This window comes from Homo sapiens, chromosome 3 (genome assembly GCF_000001405.40).
Source record: "Homo sapiens chromosome 3, GRCh38.p14 Primary Assembly".
Taxonomy (NCBI): Eukaryota; Metazoa; Chordata; class Mammalia; order Primates; family Hominidae; genus Homo; species Homo sapiens.
The window spans coordinates 123,340,915-123,354,076 of NC_000003.12; the positions used below are offsets into that span (position 1 = coordinate 123,340,915).

Genomic DNA, 13,162 nt, shown 5'->3' on the forward strand with positions numbered 1-13,162 from the left:
AGGAGTTTGAGACCAGCCTGGCCAAAATGGTGAAACCCCGTCTCTACTAAAAATACAAAAATTAGCCAGGCATGGTGGTGTGCACCTGTAATCCCAGCTACTAGGGAGGCTGAGGCAGGAGAATTGCTTGAACCCAGGAGGCAGAGGTTGCAGTGAGCCAAGATCATGCCACTGTACTCCAGCCTGGGTGACAGAGTGAGACTCCATCTCAAAAAAAAAAATTGAAAGCACAGATATGAAAAAAATATTTGTACACCCATGTTCCTAGAAGCACTATTCACAATAGCCAAAAAGTAGAAGCAACCCAGTGTCCATCAATGGACACTTTGTATGGATCCACAAAATGTGGTATATTCATATAATGGAGTATTATTCAGCCCTTAAAAAGGAAGAAAATCCTGATACATGCTATAACATGGAAGAACCTTGAAGACATCATGCTAAATGAAATAAGCCAGTCACAAAAAGCACAAATACTATATGTTTCCACATACATGAGCTACCTAGAGTAGTCAAAATCACAGAGACAGAAAATAGAATGATGGTTTCCAGGAGCTTGGGGGAGGGAGGATGGGGAGTTAGCGCTTAATGGGTATACCGTTTCAGCTTGGGAAAATAAAAAAAGTTCCAGAGATGGACGGTGGTGATGGTGGTTGCACAACAATTTGAATGTACTTAATGCCACTGAACTGTACATTTAAAAATGGCTAAGATGATGAGTTTTATGCTATGTATTTTTATCACAACTAAAATAATCCATTAATTTTTTTTTTTAAAGACCCAACCCTACTGACTCCACCAACAGGGCCCCCTGGGCTGTCAAGCTGCTGTTCCCATAGCACTTAACTCCCTCACTGTGAGGGCTGGATATTCCCTAAGGAGCAGAGACAGTGTCTTTTTCATACTGGCAGGCTGTATATAGTAGCAGCTCAGTAAATGTTTGTGGAATGACTAAAATAATAACATAAAGACCATTTATATCTATAACTGGTACGGGAGTAGAGTTCAGAATACTTAAAAAAAAATAGAGACAGGGTCTCGCTCTGTTGCCCAGGCTGGAGTAGCAGCAGCAAGATCTTGGCTCGCTGTAACCTCAGGCTCCTGGGCCCCAGCAATCCTGTTGCCTCAGCTTCCCAGTATTCTGGGCCTGGGATTACAAGTATGAACCATCGTGGCCGGCCCAGAATACTTTTCTTCATGTCAGGTTTGAGACGGGAATGCAGGATGTTCACGGCCCCTCCTCATGTGGTCTGTTGGCTGAGGGTGTGAGTGGAAGGTAAACATTTTCCACCCTCTGCCTACAGGGTGCACAATCCGCCCACAGGTATCTGAGTATCTCGGACATTGTCGCGTGGTCATTATAATTCAGAACCACACTGCAGCAGAGCCAGACACCAGAGCAACCTGGGGAATGCAGCCAAGTCCTTGAAGGAGACAGGAGAGGAGATAATAACCTTAAAAGTGGGAGGTGTTGGGGAAAGACTGAGGAGACAGGGGATCTCTCCCCAAGACCCTGCCCCACCCCTGATGTGTGGGGAGCGGGGCTGACTACCTCATTGCCACACCAGACTTGGCAGCCCCTCTGCCGGGACCCTGGCTGCAGATCCACAGGACTCGGGTGCCTGATCCAAGTTGGTGAACCAAGATCCCCCAACCCGTGCCCCATCCTGAACCCTGGGGCCCTGCGGGGAATGTTTCTTAGGCAAAGGACCAGCACCCACTAGAGGAGACAGCTTTCTCGCCCTTCACACAAAGAAGAGTCTGGAATGATCTCTCACCCACCCAACACCTACGACCTTTAAAACCTCAGGGCTCCAGCTCAGGCACAGACCAGTCAGTGCAGGGTCATCCACAGTAAGAAGGAGCTCCTGTGAAAGCAGAGAATCCTTCAGAGCCCTCTCAGGCCTGGCTGGGGCGTTCTCTGGCCCCTGAAACCTTTGGGGTGTTGAGTTACCTGACCTTGACTCTCTGGTCGTCCACCCTGCCTCAAGGGCAATCAGTCTGCAGCCTCCTGCGCTGCGCGGGGCTGGGGACCTTCCATGCCCTACCTCACCTCAGCTCCCAGCAGCCCTGCAAGGAGTCCTGGGCTAGCTAGCTGGGCACCCTCTTACGGATGCTGCTCCTCTGTGCCTTTTATCACAATGATAACAGAACAATAGAGCAGTACGTTGTCTAACATTAATACCCTGTGAAGTCTGTGTCCCCTGGTCACTAAACCCTAGCTCCCACAAGAATGTGATAAACTCAGCTGACTAATTATTCATTGCTTAGTGTCTTCTCTAACAGAAGATGAGCTTCATGATGCCAGTGATGATGTGTACTTTAATCCATGTCACACTGCCCGCCTGTAGCTGAGTGTCCTGCAATGTGGCTGGTGGTCCCCACTGATGAGGCAGAGTTCACACACTAGCTGAATGGATGAGTGAATGGCCATCCCATGTTACAGTTGAGGACCATCCCCACCCCATGTTACAGGTGAGGAAACTGAGGCTCCGATTAGGTGCCTTGCCCAAGTTCCCACAGCCACCAGGCGGCAGAGCTGGGTGTGGACCTGTCTGCTTAACACAGGTGCTCATCTTGGTCCCTTCCACTGACTCCTGGGCAAGGGTGAGCTGCTGATGCCGAGGTCTGTTTGCATCTACCTTTGCTGTGACCCACGTGGTATGGCGCCTTCTCTGGCTGAGAAGGCTGAGGCTGACTGAGCTCTCCCCTCCCCAGGCAGAGCTCCAGGAGCTGTCCCTCCCTCCAGAATGCCTCTGCTGGCATGTCCCAGAGGCCCTTGTCCCTCCCAGGTGTGGGGAGGGCACAGCTCCCCCAGCCCTGGCGCTGTCAGCTGCAGCAAGTGCTGGTATCTGGGGTGGGGGAGGACAGGCAGGAGGGCTTGCAAGCCACTGGTGGACATCCCAGCATGGGCCCTGGCTCCAGCTGACCCCCCGCCCCGTCAGAAAGGCTGAAACATTTCCATTTGTCACCACACGTCAGACAGGGGAGACAACTAAGTGTCTCCGGGGTCTCCAGGGGTCCCCTGGCCTCTGGCCTGCGTCTGCCCACGGCCAGTGGTGGCTCAGCATCAAAACATCCTACAGGCTCCTTGGCCAGTCCCTGGCTGCGCCCCGGGGTGGTGTGTGCTGCACAACTATTCTCCTCAGGGCCAGGGGAGAATGAGGCCATGGACAGTGGTGGCCCCTGCCTGACACCCCGCCCTATCCAAGACAAACTCTTTTCCCCAAACCCCCATCAGTCTCTTCCTCTTCCTTAGATCCAGGCCCAGCCTGTCATGCTGTGGAGTTGATTTATTTTTCTTGTGGCCTTGCTCTCAGTGGGGCTAGAGAACAGCATGTCATCACCCTCTCTAAATACTACAACTCTGCAGAGAATTGATGAATGTGACTCATCACCCTCCATTCGCCAACTAGAGAATCCCCAGGCCTTTCTTTGTTGATATGAGTGTGATCATAATCATAAAAATAACAGTAACAATAATAATGGCAGCTCACAATTACCGAACACTTGTTATGTGCCAGATACTATGCTAAGCACTTTCCCCACATTATTCCATTTACTCTTTGCAACCCTATTAAGTAGGTACTCTTCCTATCCTATTACGCAGATGAGGAAACTGAGGTTCAGAGTGGCTCAATGCTTGTAACTTGTCCTGGTCACATGGCCAGGAAACAGCAGAGTAGGGGCAATGTGCAGAACTGCTTAACCCCAGCGCCTAGGCCTAACCACTGTGCCCCGCCCCATGAGCCCAGCCCCAAGGGGTGTTTTTAAACTATGATGTCACCCCCCATCTCCTACTTAACCACCAACCCAAGCCAAAAGTTCAACCCCAAAACAGAGACCAGAGCAAGCACTGTGTTTCTACCAAGGGCTACAACCAGTGCTGCTGATGTAACAGGGAAAGAGGCCCCAGAGGGACATTTGCATATGATTGCTTGCAGTTGGCCTCTGATGTGTACCAGCCACCTCTGTCCCTGGCGATGTCAGAGTCAGAATCGTCTCTGTCCCCATGAAAATTATAGCATCTTGATTTTTCTCTCCTTTCATCTCTTTCCTGATTGCTGTCATTGATCCTGGCACATCCCAGAGAGAAATACCCCCACTGTGGCAGGGGTCTGACATGCAGGCCACTCTGTGATTAGGGCAGTGTTCTTTTATCAACCCAAAGTCACTGCCTCCATGGGAGAGAGACAGAGGGAGGAGTCACCCCAAGGGCAGTCACCGTAGAAGAGGCCTGAGTCAGCCCCTCTGACCAAACACCCTTGCTGGAGGGCTGGGGGCCCAAGAGCCAGCACCGTGGAACGAGGAATAGGAAGATGCCTGCTGAGTGGGAGAAGAGATGGTGAGAGAGGGCAAGAACTGGGCCGAGGCGCAGGGGTGGCCGGTGAGCCGGCTGTGTTGGCCGAGGCAGGCTGGGAAGCTGTGCTGGAGGTGCTAGACTGCTTCTGAGCAGCAAATTTTCTGGATTTCCTTTGTGTTCCACTGAATGAGCGAAACCTGCACAAAGCTCTGCGGAGCTGAGAGCAATCAAGGAAAGCACCTTTGTCCATGCGGTGCCAGGGACAATGCCTGGGCCAGTGAGGTGGTAAAGACAGGACCAGGAGAGAAAATTCCAGAAGGGGGAGCTCAGTGACTTGGCTCGTATATGTTGGGACCACTTGGTGGGCTACCCCTTCCCACTTTAAACCTGAGCCTATGGGATCTGTTCTAATAGGGAAGTCTGTTTCCTCACATGTCCTAAGGGGGAGACCCCTGGATTTTAAGAACTGCCATCAGACAGGAAAGGCCCCTGGTGGCTCCTCAGTCACAGAGACAGAGAGACAGACAGACAGACAGACAGACAGACAGACAGACACACACACACACACACACACACACAGGAAACCAAATCTCTCTCCTGCCTCTCCTCTGAGTCTCCTGTTAGCCTGAGGGCTCCCCAGACCTCCTTCCCAGATTCCTTGGACACACTCCTTTCTCCTGGGCACGTAAAAACATCTGTCTGGTAGTCAGGCTGGGTAAAAACTAGTACCAGAAAGCGTTCCAGGGTATTTCTCCCACTTAACCAACGAGAGGACAAGTTACTTCACCTCTGTGCCTCAGTTTTCTCTCCTGTAAAATGGAGATAATCACAGTACAGCCCTCTTCTTTGCTGTGGGTTTAAGTGAGTAGATGAACGCACGTAGGGCGGTGGCTGGTTCAGGCAAGCTCTGCGTAGGTGTGACCTCTCACTGCTAGTGATCGTTCCACCATGGGAGGGCCAAGGTGGGTGGGAGAAGCAGCAGGGAAATGGCACATCTGCACTGCCTGAAGGGCTCAAGCCCGGAAGTCCGGCCACCAACTCCACTTCCCTGAGCTGGGCTCAGCTGCAACCCCCTCAGGTCCTTCCCGGATGTGGAGATTCAGCCAGGGGCAGCCTTCTTCCTGGGAGACCAAGGTGACTGCTGCCTACACTGTCCCTACCTGACAGAGAAGCATGGGGGGTTGGGAGACCCCCAAAACTGGGGGCCAATGTGTTATGCAGATACATGTCTCTCCTAAAGGCTTAGAGTCTCAGTTTTGAGAGACAGATGGAAGACATGCAGTCAGGATCCACAGTCTCGGATCCCAGGGCAGACTTGGGAACTGGGCAGTTCTCATTCTGCCTGAAGAAAACAGTGCTTCCCTCACCCCTACTGCTGTCAGCCTCACCTTCTCTCTCTCTCTCTCTCTCTCTCTCTCTCTCTCTGTGTGTATGTGTGTGTGTGTGTGAGAGAGAGAGATAATTTGCACTATTTCACTTAATCACTTTCTTGAAAACGCAGGCCAAGCCTCCAAAGAGTCCTCTTTACACCAACCTCAGAGGACTCGTGAGTCCTAGGGAAACTTGCCTGGGGAGAAGGAACTCTCCGGAAGGCAAACACAGCAGCTCCTTTTCTGGGCATATGGGAGGATTATCAGGCTCTCCAGGAAGCCATGCTGGATGAAGGCCACTGTATCGCTTCGTGTCCCCGTGGAACTCATAAGCAGATTTTGCACTCTATTAATCTACATCTGTTTGCACGTCCCTGCTGTCAGCAGCTTCTGTCTAGGGAGGCGGCAAACACGCAGTGAAAGGAGCGTGGGCTCTGGAGCGGCCACTTGGGTGCAGCCTGGCTGTACCACTGCTGGCTCGGGGACCTTGAGCCCTTGAGTCTTTTAATCTAGAATGCATTCCCCACCCTTTTTTCTTTCTCCATGACTGGCTTTTTAAAGAGTACACAATGTAGACTGTCCCACGTTCTGGATTTGTCCAGTTGTTTCTTGGTGATGTGTTTTTTTCTTTAAACTTTTTATTACAGAAAATTTCAAATAGAGTATACATGAAGTAAATAGCATACATGAGCCATCTATCAACCGGGTGTGTTGATAAAGGTAGCTGGCTTGCAGTGCTGTCAGGAGGACTGGTGATAAGGTGGGCAGAGCCTGGCCCAGTGCCTGGGACGCACTGGCTTAGGAGGCATGGAAGCTGCCAGATGGTGGTGAAGATGAGATGATGGTGGTGACATTCGGGTCCCAGTCTATGCTTTCCATCTCTCTTGGTAGGCTAGGAGCTCCTCCCCAAAGCGGCTGGTGTTGCTTCCTCCTTTCTCCTCCTCCTGTTTTTATTCTCTCCCTGCAGCCTCACTGTCCCTCCCTCTCCCCACCCCCAAAAAAGCTCCATGGGACACCATGATAATTCACTCATTTAACACACCTGGAGGGGTGGGGCTGGCATGCTCTAGATGACACACTCCAAAGTCACCAAGCCACCCTGTCGGGCTGTGCCCACTTGAAAGGAAGTGGGATGTCTCCACAGGGGTCCAGCTCTCCCTCCCTTCCATCCTCCTCCCCCAGCTTCACCCCTACCTCACGTTGTCATGTTTCTGGATGTAAATCTTATGGAACATCATATCCTCCTGCTTGGCGTTGATGTCTGCTTTCATCTCCATGGCAACATGACGGGGAAGGACAGACAGCAGGAGCCGTTCCTGCAGAGGGAAGCACATGCTTTCATCACCACGCCTTCTACCTGCCTGGCAAGTGCTCGCTCCTCCACACCTGTGCCCCTGCCTGAGGGCCCTGGAAAACCTCTCAGGCTCTCCCGGGACTCCTGGGTTAACAGTGTGTGTGTGTGTGTGTGTGTGTGTGTCTGTGCATGTGTGTGTATGTGTGTGCAGGATACCTGTCCCCCATCTCCCCTCCCCGGGACACCAGCTAATCCTTCCGCCTCCCTCGCCACATTTCTCGGGCAAAAGCGCTCCTGGTGAACCTGTGAGTACTGAGCACCTCGGGTTAGAATCCTGGATGTCCCCTGAGACTCTGCGTGACCTTGGGCAAGTTACCAAACTTCTCTGAGCCTCAGGTTGCTCGTCTGTAAAATGAGGATGGAGTTGTTGAGAGCATTAAATGAGATCCACTCCATCAGTTATCAAATACTTATTGAGCACCTACCATGTGCCAGGCACTATTCTGGGGACCAAGTGAGTTAACACCAAGAGTGAGACAGGCAAGGTTCCTCCTTCAGAAAGCTTCCGGTGTCATGGGGGTCTGGGGTGCCACTATGGGGGCACTGAGCAGGGACACCTGATCTCCACTGGAGTAGTCAGAGACGGCTTCCTGGAGACTGGAAGGATGGGGTGGGGAGGAGGTGCTCCAGTTCCACCTGGGGGACAGTGGCCCAGGAGAGTGGGAAAGCAAACTGACTCAGAGAAACCATGTCACAACCAGTGGCAGGGGAGGTGGGAGAGAAGCAAGTGGAGGGGCAGGCCACATCACGGAGGCTCACGTCAGCCTGTTACGGAGTCTGGACTATGCTCTCTTTCTGAGCTCCTCTCCCGGGCCTGCCCTTCTCCAAGATGCCCAGCTGCCTCCCTGCCAGGCTCCCTATCAGGCTGGTGCACATCATTCGCTCATCCCCAGCCTTTCATTTTGGCTGCCTCCAGCCCTCCTCATTCTCCTGCCCTTCACTCTGCACCAGATGCTAGAGTCACCCTCCCACATGGTCCTGAGATTCTTCTGCTTCTATGTCATCTCTGCTTCGTCTCCCTCCACCTGGCCCCAAACATGGCACGTCCCACCTCTGTCCTCGCCCCATTCACGCCTGCACTCTGGGAGTAAGTCCATGGCCAAGGTTCCCACTATAGAGGTGGCTATATCAGCCATTTCCCACATCCCTACCTCCCGTCCATGGCTTGCCAGCCTCCAGCTGCCCACCTGGATGTCTTGCCACCACCACCCTGACATCACACCCAAACCACACTCGCTTTCCCACATTGTCATTCCCCAATCACTTTTCTTTCAATTTCCCTGCCTTTGCCTGGGACAGCCCCATTCTGCTGCACCAGTGCCAACATCCTGCCCACGTAAGTGGCTTTTGCTTTTCAGATCTTTCCCTCTGACACTCATTCCTTTCCCCTCAGCCGCAGGACCTGTCCAGCACTGACGAAGTCCTGCTCATCTGGAAACAGCTCTCACACTTGTCCTTTCTGTTCTGTGCCTTCCTCCACTGCCCACATGCAGTTCTCGCCTGGCTCTTGGATTCTGGTCGCGACACCCTGGACCGACAGCCTCCCTCTGCCCTCCCTGACGCCTGCACAGCCCCGATCTCTCTGAAACACTACCTGTGCTCAACACCTCCACAGGTTTTCTAGTTTCACCAGCCACATCACATATGGGTTCTTCCAGACCCGCTGAACTCACTCTTCCTTATTTTCCACTGCAAAGCAAAGCCCATGTCCCCCTACCCCCTTGCTATGCCTCATGCTTGCCTGGCCCGCTCCTGCCACCCCCAGACTGGCTGCTGCTCCTCTCCTTGCTGAAGCACCCTCTCCACCCAAACCTCAGCCTGTTGCCGCCCAGGCCACCTTCAGGGCCAGACTGGATGACCAGGGTACCCTCCAGATCACTTTGCTTGTCTCCAAGCTTGCTGCCTCTGGTCCATCCTTCCCACTGCAAGCAAGCAACTGCTTTTCCTAAAATACACCAGACCATGTCGCCTTCTAAGCCTCCTGACACTGCTGAGATCAGCCCACGCCCACAGCCTGGCCTGGAGGTTTCCGTGACCTGACTCCTCCCTGCCCTTCCACCTGCTGTCCCAGCAGCACTGAAATGAAATCCACACTCCACTCCAGATAGAGCAGAACACAGAGGCCCCCACACTTCCTGGGGTCTTTCTTGCTGTTGTGCACAAGCTCCTCAGCTGGCATCACCCTCCTCCTCCGCTGCTCCTCACCCTCCTTCAGGGTCTCCCTTTTCCCAGGAGGAGGTCCAATTCTGGCTGCTGGCATCCCCTCCCCCACTCGCTGAAACGCCACATCAGTGGCCTGTTAACTGTGTGTGAGGAGAGGCCACCTTGGGGACCGGAGCTGCGTCTTGTCCAGTGCCACAGCCCAGAGCCTTATGCTCGAGAAGCTGACACATTAGTGAAGGGCGGTGTTCTCTGTGGGTCGGTCTGGTCTCCCCAAGCAGCAGGAAACACGACCACCAAAGGCCAACTCTCAGTAAATAGTTACTGGTGATAGAAATAGGAATTAAAAGACAGTGTGGGATGACTGGGAGAGACCGTGCTACAAACCGTTTGGCTTCATGAGAGGCCCTCCTACATTTACAACCACCTCTGGGGCTGAGGGCCAGGAGGGGTGGGCAGGGGGCCGCTGAGGAACAATTCTGAGCCCACTCATCACAGGGCACCTAGAAGCTTCCCCCAGGGAGCCCCAGCAGCTCTTTCTGCACGCCTTGCTGGCTATGGCCGGTTGAGAAGCACCTGTCTGCAGAAAGCTTCCCCTCCTCAGCACATTGGCTCCGAATATGGAATGGCAAAAATATTTTCTCCCCTAAATCCCTGTGGATTTGGTGGAATGCCCAGACTGGCCCGGGCAGAGCAAGGAAACTGTGGCAAGCTGTAAAATGGTAATTCCCCTGGAGAAGTGAGAGGCACAGCCCCAAAAATGGAAGGAGGAGGTATCCTGATCTCAGGTGAGAGATGCTGAGGCCTGGAATGGGGATGATGAGGGGCTTTTCAGGAATGCTGAGGCCTGGGGGTGAGTGTGGTGCAGTGTGCCAGAGGCGAGGTACATGTGTTAATAAAGGGCAGTGGGAGGACCCCAGGGACCCTGCCAGCAAGGGCTTCCTTCAAGATGCTGGACCAGAAGCTCAGACAGGGCCAGAGTGAATGGGGAGAGCCAGGCTGGGGACTGGTCAGCTTAAGTGGAGACCTGACAAGACATGGCGACCACCGAGGCAGCGCTGGAAGGGAAGTGGAGACAGGTGGGGACTGGGGGGCCTGGAGAGGTACTACAGAGCTTTGCCCCCTCGTTTGGCTGTCTGGATGTCACCAGCCATATCACTGTGACTCACTTAGGATGCAACCAGATGGCATCAAGGACACCCCCCACAGTACTAAAACATTCTGCACTCAGGGTGGCCACAGCATGTGCTCCGTGCCAGCCTGGAGCCATGAGTGACCACTGCCATCTTGGCCATTTCTCCGTGTCCCCCACACTCAAAGGCAGACCTTCCATGTTCATATCAGCCATGGGGGCTGACGCAGCATGCGGCACTTAGATGAGCTCCACTGATGCTTGCTGAGGGTCTGGGGAGATGGTAATCTAAGATGGGAGGGAAGGCCTCCGGTTTGGAGCAACCTTATCTCACAGGAGCTAGTGGGAGCCCCATCACCCTGCAGACCCGCCCACTCTCTCCCCTAGGCCACACAGCCCCCCAGGCCTCCCATGTGTGAGCCATGACTCAGAGTCACCAGACCCCTACCTGATTCACACACAGAAGAGGAGACAGTGGGGATCCAGACCTGGAATCCAAACAGGACTCCGCCCCCAAAGAGGGAAGGGCTGGACCCCTGATGTGGCCCTCAGCCCTGCTCCCACCCCACCCAAGAGTGGTGCACACAGGGCAGGTCCCTCTTTGCACCAGGAATCTGTGGCCCTGGGAATGGCCTGCCTTCCCTGACCCAGGCAGTCGGTCTAGGAAGAGATGGGACTTTCTTCCTTCTCAGAACCACCAAACCCCAGAACTCAGAGAGGGGAATAGCCAGGTGTGGGGTGTTTCAGGGGATGACAGCTCCTGTCTCCTCTTCTTCTCCCTCATCCCTCCCCTGCGGAGCACCTTAATCCCAGTTAGGAATGCTGGCTTCTCTCCTTACTCCAACTCAAGGCGGGGTGCAGTGCGGGGAGGGAGTGGTGAGCAGTGTGGGGAAGGAGTGGGGGCCGTGTGGGGAGGGAGAGAGGGACCCTCTGGCTGCTGGGCTTGTTTGCAAACCACAGGGACGCCACATGGCTATGGGCACCAGGCCTTGGGCACGGGCTGGGTAGAACTCACTTCCCACAGGGCCTGGAATGCTGGACTCTCTCCAGGGGAAACATTCCCCATGGGTTGGTCCCCTCCCGGGGAGTGGGGCTGGCAGCCGTAATAAGCACTGCCCGCCCTAGGCCAGGCACTCAGCTGAGGTACATCTCAGGGCTCGACTCCGTCCCACTGTGCAAGGGCAGGGGCCTCACTCACCTGCTGCTGGTTCTCCCGCTGCGAGTGGAGCCGCGCCTGGATGCACTCTCGGGTCTCCTGGAAAGCCTGTCTCTGGGAGACCTCAGCCGGATAGTGGGTGCAGACACCCACGATGTTGGTGCAGGAGAAAATGAGAACATTGGAGACAAGCTGCAGAGGGAGAGAGGAGCACACCTAGCTCAGATCCTGACCTTCCTGGCCCCAAAGCATGAAGCCCTCAGCCCCTGTCTCAGCAAACTCACACCTGGCGCTAGCAAACAAATGCTGAGGGCACCCCACACGCGGCCAACCACTGTGAGCAGCCGAGCATAATCGATCGGGCTCTCTGATGTCCTCAAAGCCAGAAGTTTGGCTGGCTTGTCATGGGATATGTCCTCTAAAGACACTGAATCACCTAATAATCATACTAAACATGCCTATAGTACCAGAAATTAAAAGGCTACATGTACTGTGACAGAGCTGTGTGTGTGCTCGGGGCAGGAGGGCCACTGCAAGGAAGGTGCCACAAGGGTGCTGGGATTTCACTTTTGAAAGTGTGATAGAGTCCAGTACAGGACAAGGGGCCACCCTCCCCCAGAGATCAGCTCCGATGAATCAAGGATTCTCGAATCCCCTCAGGTCCCCAGCACTGTGCTAAATGCTCTAGGGAACAAAAGGGCAAGGCTGGCCAGTCGGGGTCCATGGCCACAGTGGGTCTCCACTCCTTCCTCCCTAGGCTTCTGGTCTTTCTGTTGCCAGCTCTCTGACAACCACTGCACCAGCCGGCCAGTGCCTGCCATTTCCCCCGCTCCCCAACAACTGAGATGTGTGTGTGGAAAAACACCACTGACCCTCCAGGTCAGCAAAGTCAAAGCTGGAATTCTTTTGAAGGGAATACTTACTGAAAAGCTAAGGGAAAATGAAACACAATACAACACGACACGGAAAGCAAGGTTATACGGTACATTCAGATCCCAGTGAGTGATGTGTAGGCAAAATTTCTCTTGGCAGGTAGAGCTCCTGGATATCTGAGTACATGGGTCCTGTTGTTGTCCTTGACTTGGGGCCACATGGAACAGAGCCACACAATGATGCTCCGGCTCCTAGGCTGTGGGGGCTTTGAGCTGCACCTCAGTTACTCCCACCAAAAACTTCCTTAGTCCCAGCTCCAGAAAAGGAGCCTGGGTCAGCCGCTGCACCTTCTGCTGTGGCTCCCTTAGCCCTCAGGAGGCCTGTGTTAGTCCCAAGTCCTGGGGTAAGGAGGGCACTTGGCCATTTGGATCCCAAAGAGTCTTGCTGTGGGACGTCGGCTGCCTGGCAGTGGCCCTGGCAGATGACTCCTACGCTCTTCTCTAGGGGCCTCTTGGCTCTCGACTCAGGTCTGCTTTCTACCAGAAGGCTTTGCCCACCACAGCTTTGCGATGGTCCTGCTCTTGCTCCTTGCTGAATGTGGTACCATCTTTCCCTGGAGACATCCCATGGTGTGTGTGCCCCGGTCCATGAAGACTTTCTCTTTCCTATTTCAGGCTCTCACTCCCTCCTGGCTGAAGAATGCCCTGAGCTCCCCATGTGTCTCCTGGATGTGCCTTCCAGGAAGGGGCAAGTTCAGATTTCTAGCTCCACTGACTCAGACGACTACTGTTGCTGACTCATAACTCCCATATCC

General features: G+C 54.0%; 1 protein-coding gene across 17 annotated transcripts in view, besides 3 other annotated features; it reads right to left on the reverse strand.

Moving 5' to 3' along the window:
- ADCY5 (adenylate cyclase 5) overlaps positions 1–13,162 on the reverse strand; it is a 166,795-nt gene that overhangs the window by 58,619 nt on the left and 95,014 nt on the right. For all 17 annotated transcript variants that reach the window (NM_183357.3, NM_001378259.1, XM_011512359.3 and 14 more), the window contains exons 2-3: positions 11,518–11,667; positions 6,868–6,989 (exon numbers count right to left, since the gene is read on the reverse strand). In NM_183357.3, coding sequence (NP_899200.1) covers positions 6,868–6,989; positions 11,518–11,667 — 272 coding nt within the window. The remainder of the gene's footprint in view (positions 1–6,867; positions 6,990–11,517; positions 11,668–13,162) is intronic.
- Positions 2,628–3,297: an enhancer, noted in NCBI's record as "H3K27ac-H3K4me1 hESC enhancer chr3:123062389-123063058 (GRCh37/hg19 assembly coordinates)". NCBI's record gives its function as "activates a minimal SCP1, AML or CMV promoter by ChIP-STARR-seq in naive H9 embryonic stem cells {active_cell/tissue: H9 hESC(naive)}" and the evidence as "EXISTENCE:reporter gene assay evidence [ECO:0000049][PMID:30033119]".
- Positions 8,525–9,025: an enhancer, noted in NCBI's record as "H3K4me1 hESC enhancer chr3:123068286-123068786 (GRCh37/hg19 assembly coordinates)". NCBI's record gives its function as "activates a minimal SCP1, AML or CMV promoter by ChIP-STARR-seq in naive H9 embryonic stem cells {active_cell/tissue: H9 hESC(naive)}" and the evidence as "EXISTENCE:reporter gene assay evidence [ECO:0000049][PMID:30033119]".
- Positions 10,111–11,089: an enhancer, noted in NCBI's record as "H3K4me1 hESC enhancer chr3:123069872-123070850 (GRCh37/hg19 assembly coordinates)". NCBI's record gives its function as "activates a minimal SCP1, AML or CMV promoter by ChIP-STARR-seq in primed H9 embryonic stem cells {active_cell/tissue: H9 hESC(primed)}" and the evidence as "EXISTENCE:reporter gene assay evidence [ECO:0000049][PMID:30033119]".